Consider the following 18,937-nt stretch of genomic DNA (forward strand, 5'->3'; position numbering starts at 1 on the left):
AATGTTATGTAATTGAAAAACAAGTCATGTCAATTATGTTTATTGTTGACAAAATGTTTACTCTGTAAATATCAATTATTAAGAAATATGACTTGAGAAAGGTGTATAACTGATAAGTTTTATCAAGGTAATCAAATGCAATAATGTTCTCCATCAATGAGACTCTTCTCTCTGTGATTTTTAAATGTTCACAGGCCACAAAAGTTTCAAAGCTCACATTGCTTCTACAACCAGATTCCAGGATTACCAACACACACATAATACAAATGCAATGGCTCTGATTTCACACCTATTTAAATGAGGAATTTAAAAGATGGCCTTAGCCGGGTGAGGAGGCTCACGCCCGTAATCCCAGCACTTTGGGAGGCCAAGGCAGGCAGATCATCTGAGGTCAGGAGTCTAAAACCAGCCTGACTAACATGGAGAAACCCCATCTCTACTAAAAATACAAAATCAGCCGGGCGTGGTGGCACATGCCTGTAATCCCAGCTACTCAGGAGGCTGAGGCAGGAGAATTGCTTGAACCTGGGAGGCGGGAGGCAGAGGTTGCAGTAAACCGAGATCGTGCCATTGCAATCCAGCCTGGGCAACAAGAGTGAAACTCAGTCTCAAACAAACAAACAAACAACAACAAAAAAAATGGCGTTTTTTGTCATAATTAGAGTGTATATGGCACAGGCTATTCAGCCCTAACGAGCTCTTTCTTCCTTGCCAGAAAGTCATTCCTCAGCATCTTTTTTCACTGCAATTTTGTCCAGAGAGAAAAAAGAGAGAGAATTTTCTTTCTGATACAGAGAGGTAAGAGAGAAGCGTTCACACTTTTTGCTTTGAGTGTTCATTCAGTGAAGACAGACATAATGATCGAAGTTGCTGCACCACTTTGTGACTGCTTGAGACTTCTAACCCCTGAACCATACATCTAAAGCTCTTACAATATGCAACCTAAATATACGGGCTAATAATCTAATGAACTTTCAAATAAAACACCAGTATAATCAAGGTGAATGCTAAATTTTGTCTTTTTTCTCCCTAGAATTAGCTATGTGTCAACTCTGTGTAGATTATTATTTCCGCAAACTGAAGTAAGAGAGAATAGTTTGAAACAAATTATAATATTAATTCTAAGAATTCATTTCACTTAGTATTATATAGGCATTTGCTTAAAGTCATGCTTCTCAGAATCTACATAATAATTTACTTACTTTATAAATATAATGGGTGTGGTTTTCTTTTTGTGCCATGACATAACAACTTTTTCTCAAAAAGAATGTGTTGGAATTAATTACTTCTGACAATAACAGTATAGCATCTCACGATATAGTGATAGGCTGAGGCGGGTCGATCACCTGAGGTCAGGAGCTCAAGACCAGCCTGGCCAACATGGAGAAACCCCATCTCTACTAAAAAAAAAAAAAATACAAAAATTAGCCAGGCATGATGGCAGACGCCTGTTGTCCCAGCTACTCAGGAGGCTGAGGCAGGAGAATCACTTGAACCTGGTAGGCGGCGGTTGCAGTGAGCCAAGATCGCACCATTGCATTCCAGCCTGGGCAACTGAGCAAGACATTGTCTCAAGGAAAAAAATAAATAAATAAAGGATTAGCTCAAAGGAAACTCTAATATTAATTTTATTAATTTTTTACCACTTATTAATTTCATATCACTTTCTCAAATATTCCTTTGCTTTCCACATATTTCTGACTTTCTAATAAATAATTAGTTAACTTTCAGGAATAGAAAAATTATTTATTCTTTGCCACACAACTCATGCTTTTTGAAAACCCAAAATGTAAAACAATCTTTAAGAATATAAAAATATTCTAAGTTGTAATTTAATTAGACAATAGAGTTAATAGAGTGCTTAACTGCCAAAATCTTTAAGTTAAAATAGTGAATAATATAATTACTCATGTTTATAATAAACAGTTTCCAGATGTTTTTCTTTTTTTTTTTTTTATTTTTGTTTTTGTTTTTCTGGCGAGGTCTCACTCTGTCTCCCAGGTTGGAGTACAATGACACGATCTCAGCTCACTGCAACCTCCACCTCCCAGGCTCATACAATCCTCCTGCATCAGCCTCAAGATGAGCTGGGACTACAGGTGTATGCCACCACACTCAGCTAATTTTTTGTATTTTTGGTAGAAACAGGGTTTCACCATGTTGGCCAGGCTGGTCTCAAACTCCTGAGCTCAGGCCATCATCCCTCCTCGGCCTCCCAAAGTGGCTGGGATTACAGGTGTGAGCCACCCCAATGTTTTTCATTACTGAAGAAACATTTGCAAAAAAAAACTTACCACCAAGCTTATTGTTATTACAATTATTACTATTATGGGAAATACTTAAGAGGGTGAACACTTAACATGTTCATTTCCTTTTTCCAGTTTTTGTCTGTTCATTTTCAAATCACAGGAAAGTTGCCTTTGTGACTAAGGTTAGTCTGTTTAAATATACCAAGATATATCACATGGGTTTTAAAAGGAAACTCATTTCCCCATTTTGAGAAATCAGTCTGATGTTCCCTACTAAGACGTTTGGACAGATGATTATAGCTGTTCAGCCAATGAACAAGCTGCATCACTGCCAAGACTTCCTCCCTCCAGTCACGGATTAGTGATCTTTGGGCAGCTGCCTATGCAAGAACGAAAAGATGCATGTGTGTCTGTCTCAAATCCTCTATAGTAATTCTAATTGACTGCAGTGATATCTACTGGTGACAGTGGAGAAGGTTGACAGCTTCAGGCCTTGTTGTTGCAGCCAAAAAGCTACTCTCATGAAGATCTTAGATGAGTATATTAAGTACTTCCACTAGCTCAGCTGGTGAAGTTACTTTAGCTCACTTGGCATGAGCACTGGCCTGAGAATAGTAAATCAGCTCTTAAAAGTATCTTCTTGTCATCTGAATTGTAAATGTTCAGTGAGCTAATCCACATCTTCTTTTATAAATAGAACTGACCCTCTAGCACTGTAGTACCATCAGGCAACTTTTTTCCCTCATTTTGTTAACTTTTCCTTTGCTTAACCCTATTTGCCCTTCTATACACAGTAAGTGGCAATCTTAGAATAGCTCAAGATAAAATATCATAAAAGAGGATCACAGGTGAACAATACAGTACATCAGTGTGCTGGACTTTTATGTAGTAAAAGGCTGTCAGGAGTTAAACTTCTTTAAATTGTTTGTTGCAGAGGAGTAGAAGAGTATCCACTTCAGAAAACTCAGAGCAAAGGAAACATTCAGTTAGACAACCCAACAAAGTGCTACTGCTTTTAAGTAACATACATGATCAGAGTTTTCCCAAATTATCTGAAATAGTTCATGAACCTCTATTTTAGATGGTTTAAGGAAACAATAGAAGTTCATCATTTTTAATATACCATAATTCGACATTGAGAATAAACTGTTTCACTAGATTGTAATGATTTAGTCCTGCTTTAGGCCGGACATAACAGTATGTTTACACATTTTCTTTATCTAATGATACATAAAATACTCTTTTAAACACAATCATAAACATCAACAAAGACATCTGAAGACTCTGAAGTCTTGCTTTTAACATAGACAAATAATTGCCCGAGGCACAAAACTTCAAGTTTTCCAGCAAATAAAGCATGCAATTAACAAAGGAGCTAATTGAATTTTTTCTTACTTGATATACTTGACAGAATGGGCTGTGCTTTATTGACTTTTACATACCCAGTTCCTTGAACATAGGACAGCATAAATAGTAGATGGTTAATAATTCATTGCTAAATACAGAAATGAAGAATAAATGACACTTAATTGCAGCAACACAGTCTTACCATTTCTGAACTTCATTGGAAAGTAAAATTGGCAAAATCAAATTTGGATGGTGCAGTGACAGTTTATCTGTCCTTACAAGGATGCCCTTATAAGTGAATTTAATTGCTTGTTTTATCTAATTAGAAAACCTCTAAATATCCCAAAGATTATTAAGTTTCCCTCATTCATCACATTTTAATATTATCCAAGTGTTATAAATTACATGGCATAGGCATTTTACTAACATAGTTCTGTTTAGGATAAGTAATATTTTCTCATTAAAACCTTTTTGTGATTTTTCCCCAAAACTATAAATCCTATTATTCATATATAGATCTTGTTATCTGGCTTAATTTAAAATTAATATGCTCATGATATTTTCTCTCTATAGGAAAAGCAGAGCAAGTCACTTTCTACACTGATGCAGGTTTATAAATGGATAAATCTAATCCCTTAAAGCATACAATTACATATAGTAACACCCAAAGAAAGCAAGCTGGCCTTTAAGCTAGGTTTTAGTTCTGTGTTTCCAAACCCAGTTTCACAAAGGTTTTCATTATTGCTTATTTTAAATATCATTTGCCAAGCTCAACTGCCCTCAGGAACACCTTGCCCTGTAGATGCACAAATGATATGATTAGGATACTAATAAGAAACAGTGGTTAGAAAGCAAAAAGAGCCACTTGGGCTAGCTCTGAAAGCACCAATCCCTTCAAATAACCAAGATACCATTTATATGTTCTAAGATATTTGTGATGGAAAAGTAAACAAACAAGAAATTTCTATAGATTATAACAAGACATGTTTTAAAACTATTTGGTTTGAGATTCAGATCTGCTGGATTGCTTCATTACTCAAATTTCACTCTCCAAAATTATTTCTTATTATATTGGCTTACAATGACCCTAAAAGAGAAATTAAAATGCAGAAAAGCATTCAGGGAAATTTATGGTTTGCATATCTTTTCCAAAACTCAGGTTGAAATCAACTGCTACTGTAACAGTATTAAGAGGCAGGGCCTTTAAGAGGTGATTAGTTCATGAGAGCTCCACCCTATTGAACGGATTAATGCCATTAACACAAGAGTGGGCTAGTTACTGTGGGAGTGGGCTCCTGATAAAAGGATAACTTTGGCCCTCATTTCCTCTCTGTGTCTAGTGTGTTCACATGGCCGTCTGCCATGTTAGAACATAGCAGGAAAAGCCCTCACTAGGTGATAACACCATAAGCTTAGATTTCCCAGCCTCAAGAATTGTGAGACAAATAAACTCTTTTTCTTTATAAATTACCCAGCCTGTGGCATTCTGCTATAGCAGCGATATAAAAACTGAATCAAATGCAATGGAATGATATGTATGAAAAAGTCATGTGCTTATTAAAATCAAGGCTACAGTTTAGATCTCATCTATCCTGTTATTTGAGTAAACATTATAATTAACAACAAAAGATCACGATTAAAAGGCCACCTGAGAATTTTATTAACTCTACAGTCCCCACCAATTTAATTTTCATTTTTTAATATCAGCAATATATAGTTTATCTAAACATGTGCATATTTTTTTGTTAATGGAAGCAGATTATGTGCTTGTTTATAGTTTGAATGTTCTCATCAGAAAGATCCAGCTTAAATCTAGGGCACTATCATTTCACTTTGTTCAACTGCTAAATATTTGGGATCAATTACTCACCTATAAATAGAGGGAACAGTGCTTAATAGAGGGAATACTCATCAATAGCGGGAATAGTGCTCAGAAGCAATTGCTCAGTAAAAGACATTTTACTGAGCATTTGTATAATATTTTATATTGATAATAAATAACATTAAAATTAATAACAGTAATCATAGTAAAATTATGATTATTTTGTGTAAAGACCTGTAATTTGGATTTGAAAAAGAAAATCACTACTAATGCTAAGGTGTACTGCATTAATCATTTAGGAAGCTATGGCTGACAATATTACAAAAAAAATCATGGTGTTAAATTTGTATATACTAACAAATTCATCTTACCACCAATCCACAATAACATACAGAACTTTAGAACACAAATCATTTGCTATATTTTGTCAGTATACAAACAAAGAGGTATATCGCACCATTCTATGGGAACAGTCTTTCACCAAGTGTCACTATTTACTTTTTTGTTTCTTTGCCGGAGGTGGGGAAGGATGGATTTCATGGTAAATTGATTTTTGAAAGCCAAAATTAGCACTATGTTTCCACTTAAAATTTCACCATGCATATTACTAAATGACAGAGTTGAGGAAGGCTTGCAATTGAAAAAGTTGTTTTCTCATGTTCCTTGAGTGGTATATCTACAGAAAATCTGTTTTATAGACATGAAAGAAGCAGAAACAAAAGATTAAGAATAGTAGAAGCAAACGCTTTCTTAGAATTAACTTACATGTAATGAAGCTAAATTTATTTCAGAAAAAAATAAGCTTATTGGATGGAGTCTCAATTTTCATGTGTACATTACAATGAACATTGGCCCACATGGATAAATAATCAGAGTAATCACATCAATGATTACATTGAATAATGATTTTTTTATTTTTTATTTTTTTTTAATTGAGATGGAGTCTCACTCTGTCACCCAGGCTGGAGTGCAGTGGCATGATCTCGGTTCACTGCAGCCTCCATCTCCTGGGTTCCAGCAATTCTCCTGCCTCAGCCTCCCAGGTAGCTGGGATTACAGACATATGCCATCACGCCCAGCTAATTTTTGTATTTTTAGTAGAGACGGGGTTTCACCATGTTAGCCAGGCTGGTCTTGAACTCCTGACCTCAGGTGATCCGCCCACCTCGGCCTCCCAAAGTGCTAGGATTACAGTCCTGAGCCACCATGCCCAGCTGAATGAATATTTTAAGAACATAATGATAAAGGATATTCAAATAGGAAGGGAGGAAGTCAAATTATCTCTGTTTGCAGATGGCATGATTGTATATTTAGAAAACCCCATTGTCTCAGCCCAAAAACTCCTTAAGCTGATAAGCAACTTCAGCAAAGTCCCAGGATACAAAATTAATGTGCAAAAATCACAAGCATTCCTATACACAAATAATAGACAAACAGAGAGCCAAATCATGAGCCAATCCCATTCACAATTGCTACAAAGAGAATAAAATACCTAGGAATACAACTTACAAGGGACGTGAAGGACCTCTTCAAGGAGAACTACAAACCACTGCTCAAGGAAATAAGAGAGGACACAAACAAATGGAAGAACATTCCATGCTCATAGAAGGAAGAATCAATATCGTGAAAATGGCTATACTGCCCAAAATAATTTATAGATTCAATGGTAGTCCCATTGAGCTACCATTGACTTTCTTCACAGAATTAGAAAAAAAACTACTGAAGGCAATGTCATGCTACCTGACTTCAAACTATACTACAAGGCTGCAGTTACCAAAACAGCATGGTACTGGTACCAACACAGATATATAGACCAATGGAAGAGAACAGAGGCCTCAGAAATAACACCACACATCTACAGCCATCTGATCTTTGACAAACCTGACAAAAACAAGCAGTGGGGAAAGGATTCCATATTTAATAAATGGTGTTGGGAAAATTGGCTAGACATATGCAGAAAACTGAAACTGGACCCCTTCCTTACAACTTATAAAAAAATTAACTCAAGATGGATTAAAGATTTAAACATAAGACCTAAAACCTTAAAAACCCTAGATGAAAACCTAGGCAATACAATTCAGGACATGGGCATTGACAAAGACTTCATGAATAAAACACCAAAAGATGGCAACAAAAGCCAAAATTGACATATGGGATCTAATTAAACCAAAGAGCTTCTGCACAGCAAAAGAAACTATCATCAGAGTGAACAGGCAACCTACAGAATGGGAGAAAATTTTTGCAATCTATCCATCTGACAAAGGGCTAATATCTAGAATCTAAAAGGAACTTAAACAAATTCATAACAGAAAAACAACCCTATCAAAAAGTGGGCAAGAGATATGAACAGACACTTCTCAAAAGAAGACATTTATGAGGCGAACAAACATATGAAAAAAAGCACATTATCACTGGTCATTACAGAAATGCAAATCAAAACCACAATGAGATACCATCTCACACCAGTTAGAATGGCGATCATTAAAAAGTCAGGAAACAATAGATGCTGGAGAGGATGTGGAGAAATAGGAACGCTTTTACACTGTTGGTGGGAGTGTAAGTTAGTTCAACCATTGTAGAATACAGTGTGGCAATTCCTCAAGGATCTAGAACCAGAAATACCGTTTGACCCAGCAATCCCATTACTGGGTATATACCCAAAGGATTATAAATCATTCTACTATAAAGATACATGCACACGTATGTTTACTGCAGCACTATTCACAATAGCAAAGACTTGGAACCAAATCAAATGTCCATGAATGTTAGAGTGGATAAAGAAAATATGGCACATATACACCATGGAATACTATGCAGCCATGAAAAAGAATTAGTTCATGTCCTTTGCAGAGACAGGGATGAAGCTGGAAACCATCATTCTCAGCAAACTAACACAGGAACAAGAAACCAAACACTGCATGTTCTCACTCCTAAGTGAGAGTTCTACAATGAAAACATATGGGCGCAGGGAGGGAAACATCACACACCAGGGCCTGTCAGGGTTGGGGGGCAAGGGGAGGGATAGCATTAGGAGAAATACTTAATGTAGATGACGGGTTGATGGGTGCAGCAAACCACCATGGCACATGTATACCTACGTAACAAACCTGCACGTTCTGCACATGTATCCCAGAATGTAAAGTATAATTTAAAAAAAAAAACATAATGAAGCATGTCTTCAAATCATGAAGAACCAAAGATAGTGAAAAAAAAAGGGGGGGTAGTCTTCAAATACATCAGCCTGTATGTCATACATCCAATTTTAAAAGGCCTTATAAATTGGCAGCTGCTGCCAAAGTACTGTATATAGTAGTCCTTATGTTTTTCACATGGTATACAGTTTCATTTGTAACATAAGAGAAATATCATATATTGAGACTATGATTATATTTGAACATGAAACACACTTAATTAGAAAGAGAAGAAATCTATCAGGGAAGAATCACAACTTGAGATTGCAGCAAAGAGTGATAAGATGACTAAGAAAAGAAAGCAGGTAGGTTTTCCAGAACTCAGTAGTGCTGAAACTCAAGGAATCCAGCAAAATAGTTTATTACTCACCACAGAGCAAACAGCAGGAGTTTCAGCATGGTAATGCAGGATTTCCTATGGTAGAGCCCCATGGGGAGACAAGATGGGCCCTGACGGAGAGTGTAGTGTGGTGGGTGGTACCATTACAGAGAAGTCCAGTTCAAGAGCTCAACACTTCTTGTAGCAAGCAAAGAATAAGCCATCCCCATCCCCTGGGGAGCAAGGAGTTGCATAGTAGTCACATGGTTTTCTTGACCTACTTAAGTGTTGATGTGACTAGCACTGCTTATTACCAGGATATATTGGACCTTGCTATTTGAAATATTCAGCAAGGAATATTCACTCAGGAACCACGGGAGACTACTTTCCACAAAAAAACAACAAAACAACAACCACAACAATCACCAATATCTGAAAGAAAATAATATAAAGAAATTAGATTTTGTAACATACCTACAACATTTTTTAAAATGCTCCTTATGATAGTTGCTACTCATATAAGATTAACTGAGAGCCAACAATTTTAACTCCTTTTACACCCATCAAAGTAGCATGCTCTTACTAATTTAATTTTTCTCTCTTTGGATTTTAGGGAGATGATCTACATGTTTAAGCATAACTTAATTTGCATAATAAATTACAAAATATAAACATTCTCTAAAATCCCTTAATTAACATTTTTATAACTTGATGCATCACTATAAAAATAGTGTAAAAGGAATTTATATCTGGGCCTCAATTCAGGTAACTTTAGCTGAAAGTTTGGTTGTGGTCCAATTATTTCCCACACATTATGGCAAATCAAGCTATGGTAAGTTGAAGTTTTGTTATCTGGCAAAGTGCTATATATTTTGTATTATGGCAAGTATGAAACATAAAAATACTGGTAGTTATATAAAAAAAATCAAATAAAACGATCTTTGCAATCATTTAAACATAGAAAAACAAAATTTGAGAGCTATATTATGAAGTGTTCCTTTAGTATTTATGGTCTGGTAAAGGAGACACACATTTTCATGCATTTATGTTAAAGTGCAAATGCCAAAACCAATATGTATACAGTGCTAAGAGACCACAGAGAAGATGACTTAAAATATAGTCTGTGATTGTGATGAAGGTAGCAATGAATCATGCCCAGATATAGTGTTGTATTAGCACCTTATCAGAGGAAACATTAACTGAATAAACAAGGGAAAGAAAGTTCAAAATGAAGGTACAATCTTAAAAACAGCAATGTAGCATAGAATAGTGGTAAAGTTGGAAACTTTGGTTGGAGCACCAAGCAAAGTCCATATCATAAAAGGCCTAGAAGATCATCTGGATCTGGCTTTAAAATTTCATCCATAAAGTCATGAAGAATCACAAAAAGAAGATGGCCAACTAAATGCAGCCAAGAAGTGCCACTCCCATGGAAATAGACTAGAATTTCAACTAAACCAACATAATTTAAACAGATCTATGGCGAAGAAATGTGGATGGATAAAAAGACATAGATGCTAAAGCCGAAGAAGAAGGAAGCTGGGAACCCTGTGTGGGGTGCCTGAACGCTAAGACTGTTTTCTGCTCCTGAACAGCTCCTGGGGTTGCAGTGAGTGAAGGGACTGGGAAACTTTCCACTCTTGCCATGGACCTTTGGGATCCTAGCTGTACTATTAATACAAACTCAAGGGTCCAGAAGAGGGAGCCAGGAGCAGGTTCTGGTGCTCCAGGGCTGTGACCCACAGCTCAGGAGAGCTGAGCTGGACTCTGAGCCCAATATCCAGGTATAGGAGGGACCCATACTCTCAGAATACTGAGAGTGATGAGTTGCACAGATTCTCAGGCTGGTGTGGGACCTAGGCATGCCTCCCTCAACAGGGCTGATCCAGTAAGAGTGTGGCTTATTTCCCTACCAGACCTCTGCCTGAGGGACGCTCATGGCCTCAAACACCTAACAAAAAATAATAATAGAGTACCGGAGTTCAGAGTTGCCTCCCACAAGGCTCAGGAGTGGACCTGGTCGGGGTGGGGTACAGGTGAGTGTCACCTCTCTACCCCTCTCACCACAAAGCACAGCTGCAAATGCAAAGTTACACAAAGGAGCAACTATCTACCATTCCATTGCTTTCAAGCACCATCAATTGAATTGCAGCCCAAACTACAATACCAAAACCACTTTGCTAATTCTCTCCCATTTGAAACCCGGGGCAAGAATCCAACAACAAAGACACTGTACGGAGTCTGTCTTCTTAAGACTTCCAGAAATGAAGCCAACTGAGTATATTCAATTTATACCACATTTAAAGGAACACCAACCCTACCAGGTAAAAGAGAATCAAAACAAGAATCCAGAAAATTTAAAAAGCCAGAGGGTCTCCTTATCTCTAAATGAGCTCCCCAGCTCCCCAGCAATTATTAGTCAATCTGAAATGTACGACTTGGCAGGCATGGAATTCAGATTCTGGATATCAAGGAAGCTCATTGAGAGCAAGGAGGAAGTTGAAACTCAATCCAAGGAAGCCAAGCAATTCAATAAAAGAATTCAAGAGCTAAAAGATAAAATAGTTCTTTTAAGAAAAACCCAAACTGAACTTACTGAGCTAAAAATTCACTGCAAGAATTTCATAATACAATCACAAGTATTTACAGCAGAATAGGCCAAGCTGAGGAAAGAATCTCAGAACTTGAAGACCAGTACTACAAATCAACTCAGTCAGACAAAACTAATAATAATTTAAAAAAGAATTAAGTAAAATGAACAAAACCTCTGAAAAATATGGAATTGTATAAAGAGATAAAAATCTACAACTCATTGGCATCCCAAAGAGAGAAGGAGAGAGAATAAACAACTTGGAAAATATACTTGAGGATAAAGTCCTTGAAAATTTACTTACTCTCACTAGAGACAGAAATCTTACAAGCCAGAAAAGATTGGGGACCTACTTTCAATGTCCTTAAAGAGAAGAAATTCCAACCAAGAATTTCATATCTTCCCAAACTAAGCTTCATAAGTGAAGAGGAGATAAAATCATTATCAGACAAGCAAATGCTGAGGGAATATGTTTCAATTATACCAGCTTTATAATAGGTCCTTAAAGGAGTAACAAACACAGATACCAAAAAAACGACACCTGTTACCACAAAAACACACTTAAGCATATAGCCCACAGGCCGTGAAACCCGCACAGTCAAATTTACGTAACAATCAGCTAACAACAAAATGGCACGATCAAAATCACACAGATCAATACTAATCTTGAATGGAAATGGGATAAACACCCCAATTAAAAGACACAGAATGTCAGGCTGGAGAAAAGACAAGACCCAACCATCTATTGTCTTCAAGACAATCATCTCAAATATAATGACACTCACAGGCTCAAAGTAAAAGGGTGGAGAAAGATTTTCCATGTAAATGGAAGACAAAAAAAGGCAGGAGTCAATATTCTTATATCAGATAAAACAAACTTAAAGCCAATAAAAATAAAGATGGAAAAATGAACAATATTACAAAATAACAGGGGCAATCCAACAAGAAGCTTTTAATACACTAATTACATATGCACCCAACATTAGAGCACTCAGACCTATAAAACAAATTTTTCTTGGCCTACAAAAAGACTTAGACAACCACACAATAATGGTGGTATACTTCAACACCCCACTGATAGAGTCAGATAGCTCATCAAGGCAGAAAACTCACAAAGAAATTATGGACTTAAACTTGACACTTGACCAACTGGACCTGATAGATATCTACAGAACACTCCACCCAACAACTACCAGATATATATTTATCTGTACACGAAACATACACTAAAATCAACTACACAGTCATAAAACAAATCTCAGTAAGTTCAACCAATTGAAATCATGCCAAACATATTCTTGAACAACAGTGCAATAAAAACAGTAATCAATATCAATAAGATCTCTCAAAACTATACAAACACATGGAAATTAACAACTTGCTCCTAAATAACTCCTAAATGAACATCTAAATTAAGGCAGAAATTTAAAAATTATTTGTAATTAATGAAAATGGTCATATAATTTACCAAAATGTCTGGGATGCATCCACAGTAGTGTTAAGAGTAATGTTTATAGACCTAAATGCCTTCATCGAGAAGTTAGAAAGATCTCAAGCTAACAACCTAACTTAGCACCTAAAGAACCTAAAAAAAAGAGAACAAATCAACCTCAAAACTAACAAAAGAAATACTAAAATTAAATAATGTAATCGAGATGCTAAAATCCATATAAAAATCAATGAAACCAAGAGTTTGTTTTTCAGAAAAATAAGATTAATAAGCCACTAGCTAGATTAACAAACAAAAAGAAGATCCAAGTATGCACAATCAGAAATGACAAAGGTGATATTACAACTGATCCCACAGAAATACAAAAGATCCTTAGAGACTACTATGAACAACTCTATGCATACAAATTAGAAAATCTAGGGAAAATGAAAAAATTCTTGGAAGTACACAATCCCCCAAGATTGATTCAGGAAGAGATTGAAACCCTGAATAGACCAATATGAACTTCTGAAATTGAATCAGAAATAAAGAACCGACCAACCAAAAAAGCCCTGGACCAAATGTATTCATAGCCTAATTCTACCAATATAAAAGGAAGAACTGATGATAATCCTACTGAAACTATTCCAGAAAAATTGAGGAAAAGAGGCTCCTCCCTAACTCATTCTATGAAGCCAAAATCAGTCTGATACCAAAATCTGGCAGAGACACAATGAAAAAAAGAAAACATCAGGCCAATTTCCCTAATGAACATACACACAAATATTCTCAACAAAATATTAGCAAACTGAATCCAGCAGCATATCAAAAAGTTAATATGCCACAATCAAGTAGGATTTATTCCTGGGATGCAGAGCTTGTTCAACATACCCAAATCAATAAATTTGATTCACCACATAAACAGAATTAAAAGCAAAAACCATATAATCATCTCAATGGACATGGAAAAACTTTTGGTAAGATCCCACATCCCTCCATGATAAAAACCCTCAATGGACTAGGCATGAAAGGAACATAACCCCAAAAATAATAAGAGCCATCTATAATAGACCCATAGCCAACATCATATTCAATGGGTAAAAGCATGAACCATTCCCCTTGAGAACTGGAACAAGACAAGAATGCCCTTTCTCACCACTGGTATTCAGCACAGTACTAGAAGTCCCAGCCAAAGCAATCAGACAAGAGAAAGAAATGAAAAGTGTCTAAGCAGGAAAAGAAAAACTCAACCTATCTCTCTTCACTGATATGATTCCAGACCTACAAAATGCTAAACAATCTGCCCAAAGGCTCTTAGACCCTATAAACAACTTTACTAAAGGTTCAAGATATAAAATCAATGTACAAAAAGTAGTAGCATTTCTATACACTAATGTGGGTCCTGGCTGAGCGTAAAATGAAGAACATGATCCCACTAGCAACAGCCACAAAGAAAATGAAATTCCTAGAAATACAGCTAATCAAGGAAGTAAAATATTTCTAAAAGGAAAACTATCAAATACTGCTGAAATAAATCAAAGACAATGCAAATAAATAGAAAAATATTACATGCTCATGGACTGGAAGAATCAATATTGTAAAAATGGCCACACCACCCAAAGCAATTTACAGATTCAATACTATTCCTATCAAACTATGAACTTTATTCTTCGCAGTATTAAAAAAAATCTATTCTAAAATTTATTTGGAACAAAAAAAAATCCTGACTAGCCAAAGCAATCCTAAGCAAAAAGAACAAAGCCAGTGATATCACATTACCCAGCTTCAAACTATACTATAAAGCTACAGCAAACAAAACAGCATGATATGTTACAAAACAGACACACAGACCAATGGAACAGAATATAAACCTCAGAAATAGGGTCACACACCTAAAACTATCTGATCTCTGACAGGGCTGACAAAACCAAGAAAAGAGGAAAAGACTCCCTGTTGAATAAACGGTGCTAGAGTAGCTGGCTAGTTATATGTAGAAGATTGAAGCTGGACCTCTACCTTTCACCATGTACGAAAAATAACTCAAAATGGATTAGACATTCAAATGAAGAGTTCAAACTATAAAAATCCTAGAAGTAACCTAGGAAATACTCTTCTTGGCATCAGCGTTGGCAAAGAATTTTTGGCTAAGTCCCCAAAAGCAATTGAAAGATAAACAAAAATAGGTAAGTGGGACCTAATTAAACTAAAGCACTTATATACAACAAAATAAACTATCAACAAAGTAAACAGCCAACCTACAGAATGGGAGAAGATATTCACAAACTAAGCATCTGACAAACGCTTAATAACCAGAATCTATAGGGAACTTAAACAAATCAACAAGCAAAATAATTAAAAAAAAACAATAAAAAATAGGCAAAAGTCATTAACAGGCACTTCTCAGAAGACACACAGCCAAGAAACATATTTAAAAATGCTCATCATCCCTAATCATCAGAGAAATGAAAATCACAATGAGATACTATCTCATACTAGTCAGAATGGCTATTATTAAAAAGTTAAAAAGAAAAAAAAAACAGATGTTAGAGAGGCTTCAGAGTAAAGAGAATGCTTATACATTGTTGCTTGGAATATAAATTAGCCTTGCCGCTGTGAAAAGCAGTCTGGAGATTTCTGAAAGAACTTAAAACAGAACTACCATTCAATCCAGCAATCTCATTTTTGCATATATACCCAACCGAAAATAAATCATTCTACCAAAAAGATGCATGTACTTCTATGTTTATCACTGCATCACTGTGCTGTTCACAATAGCAAAGACATGGAATCAACGCAAGTGTCCACTGATAGTAGACTGGATAAAGAAATGGTAATCCATGTATACCATGGAATACTACACAGCCACAACAAAGAACAAAATCATGTATTTTGCAGCAACATGAATACAGTTGGAGGCCATCATCCTGAGTGAATTAACACAGGAACAGAAAAACAAATAATACATATTCTCACTTGTAAGTGGGAGCTAAACATTGAGCACATATGGACATAAATATGGGAACAGTAGACACTGCAGACTACTGGAGAGGGGAGGGTGGGAGGAGGGGATATGTGGAAAACTACCTATCAGGTAGTACACTCACTACTTGGATTACAGGATCTGTACCCCAAACCTCAGCATCACATAATATTCCCATGTAATAAACCTGCACATGTGTCCTGTGTAACTAAAATACATGTTGGAATTTTTTAAAAACCACACAAAATATTCAGAGGAGCAACATCTCATAACGCATTATTTTGAAATAACCCTTTTTTATTTGGTGTGAAAAGAAACTTAAGGGACATTTTAAATAAGTCAATTTAGGAAGGCAATAGAAGTAATTACTCATATGATAAACGATATGATGGCTAGAACTTAGATTGTAGCAACAGATGAACATATAGTGAAACAAATTTAAAAGATAGTGAAGAGGTAGCATCATAACATTTTTGGTGGTCAATTAATTGTGCTTAGTGAGGAATAAACAGAAGTTACAAATGATTGCCATCTTCAATACACGGTGATCAAAGGTATTATCAACAAGATGGGCAATTTAGAAAAAAATGATCTGCTTGAAGATATTGTGGTAGATTGAATTAATACTCCCAGCTGTTCACTCTTTATCTCTGTAATGGAATTTGCAGTCTTATGCATTGTTATGTCATTATCCTAGAGGAGCAATATAAGACCAATTTTATTGACTTTGGGCATAGCCAAATGACAAGTTTTGGCCTAGGAAATGTGAGCAGACATCATGTGTATTATAACTTCATCCAGGAGAAAGTTTTAAATGTGACCCTACAATATGGCTTGGGCTGTTGCATTTGTACACTTTTCCATGAGAATACCATGTCCAAGATATCATTTGTTTTTCAGCCTGTATCCAAGAATTACAAGACATGTGGAGACCAGACAAGCTTAGCAGGGATACAATCGATGTACAGCCCTCATGCAATGTAAGCAAGAAACGATGGTAGTTTCAATCAAATGTCAAAATGAAATAATTTGTTATCACAACACAACCTAACATAAGAAAATAGTATTTGGTTCAATTTCATAGTCTGAGTTATTTACTGTGAAATCCATGAAGACACATCTGATAGTAAATTGTGACAGTACGGAGGTACAGAAACAACAAAGTAAGAAGGAGAAGATGAAGATAGATTAAAAAGAGAAAAATATACCTTCCAAACTCTCTTGGCATTAGTAAAAATTATTAAATTACCTCCTTTTTCTTGGCGTCAAGAAATCATGTCTAGCCCTTATATCCAAAGATGAGAGTTGCATAGCACAGCTCATAGTTTAGGTTCCCAAAATAAGAAACCCTTATGGCTCAAAAAAAGCAAGAGCAAAGATGTACGTAAGCCTGTGTTCAGTGAATTAGCATTGTACAATGATGACTTTTGGAAATCCCGTTTTATATTATTATACCTGCGTCTAGAATTATTAGCACCTTTAGACTATTTTTTAACTTTGAAGAGTTATCTAATAGTGCCATCAGAAAAATAGTTGAATCGGTTTTGTTAATGACATAAAGTATTAAGATGTTCAATTTCCTTTCTTTTTTCTTTTTTTTCTTTCTGAGACCAGGTCTTGCTCTGTCATCCAGGCTCGTATGCAGAGGTGTGATCCGTGGCTCACTGCAGCCTCAACCTCCTGGGCTCAAGCACTCCTCCAGCCTTAGCCTCCTGAGTAGCTAGAACTTCGGACACGCACCACCATGTCCAACAATTTTTAAATTTTTTGTAGAAACGGTCTCACTATGTTGCCCAGGCTGGTCTAAACTCCTGGCCTCATGCAATCCTTTCACCTTGGCCTCCCAAAGTGGTGGGATTACAGGCATGAGCTACCATGCCTGGGCATAATGTTTAATTTCTAAGATATTTTGACTTTGCTTTTATTTCAATTCATTGCAGTTTTAAGCATTAGGTGGATATTTTCTTGTGTTAGTTCACACAATTAAACTGTTCTAATGTCTCATTATTAAGCAGGTTAAGCTCTTATTTTATCAGTAATGTGGATTAGTTTTATATTTTTCCAACTCTTTGACCCTCTAGGATTAATGCAGCTATAAGAAAATGAACCATTTATAAAATGATAATCTTTCCAAGTTATAGTTCATATGTGTTCCTAGGTTATTTGTAAAAATTATTTCTTCCTATTGTAAATATTCTTATTAATAGGAAATTTCTAGGTTTTACATGTCCCATCTTTGTTATAAAGTCACAAGTATGTCTTAACATGTGGTATCTATAGCCAAGAAATCAAAATATAAAAAGAACTCAAGGGTTTGTTATTCGTTAACACTTACAAGAAAGAACAATGTCTTGATTTCTGTATCTCTAGCATCTACACAGTACATAGCGCATAATAAGCACTAAATAAAAGATGAAAGAATGCCTTTCTTAACCAAGGCAGTTTAATAATATGTACAAAGATGTATATACAGTACATAGGAAGTGCTTGAGAATACATGGACAAAATCAGATTTAGCCAGTGCTATTAAGGAGTTTATTGTTAAGAACAAGTTAATTAGTGCACAATTGCAACATGTAGACAACTATTGGGTGTGCCACTAGACACCCACCAGCAACATGTGCAAGCCTACATTTAAGCTGCACAGCCTAAGCATTATGTGCAGAAAACCAGGTTATCCTAGAGAAATGAGGAAAGAAACTTTTTATGCAACATGAGCTTGAGTCAGCTTTCAGAAATCCAAACTAAAAAGAAAATCGTAGAGACAAGATTTCAACTATTCAACATGGCTCTGATTTTGACATTTAATCTGTATTTTTGTAGTGAGGCAAAAAATAATCATGTAAGAGTTTCTCAAAATTCAGAATGGGGGGCAGGATCAAACAAAAGAATAAGATTTTTTTTTGTACTGCAGTGGTCTTTGTATATAAAATGTCAAATATTTTATCCTCTCAGTACAAGGAATGTTTCAGTAGATGCCAGTGTTAATGTCAAAGGAATAAATCCTTTG

At 35.8% G+C, this 18,937-nt stretch overlaps 1 long non-coding RNA gene across 1 annotated transcript; it reads left to right on the plus strand.

Annotated features, from left to right (window-relative positions):
* The first annotated feature begins 716 nt into the window (after nt 1–716).
* LOC105377431 (uncharacterized) lies at nt 717–17,653 on the plus strand. Its single transcript, XR_939206.1, has 3 exons — nt 717–798; nt 16,828–16,907; nt 17,542–17,653. It is a non-coding gene; the product is annotated as an uncharacterized LOC105377431 (long non-coding RNA).
* The last annotated feature ends 1,284 nt before the right edge of the window (nt 17,654–18,937 follow it).

Source organism: Homo sapiens, chromosome 4 (genome assembly GCF_000001405.40).
Source record: "Homo sapiens chromosome 4, GRCh38.p14 Primary Assembly".
Taxonomy (NCBI): domain Eukaryota; kingdom Metazoa; phylum Chordata; class Mammalia; order Primates; family Hominidae; genus Homo; species Homo sapiens.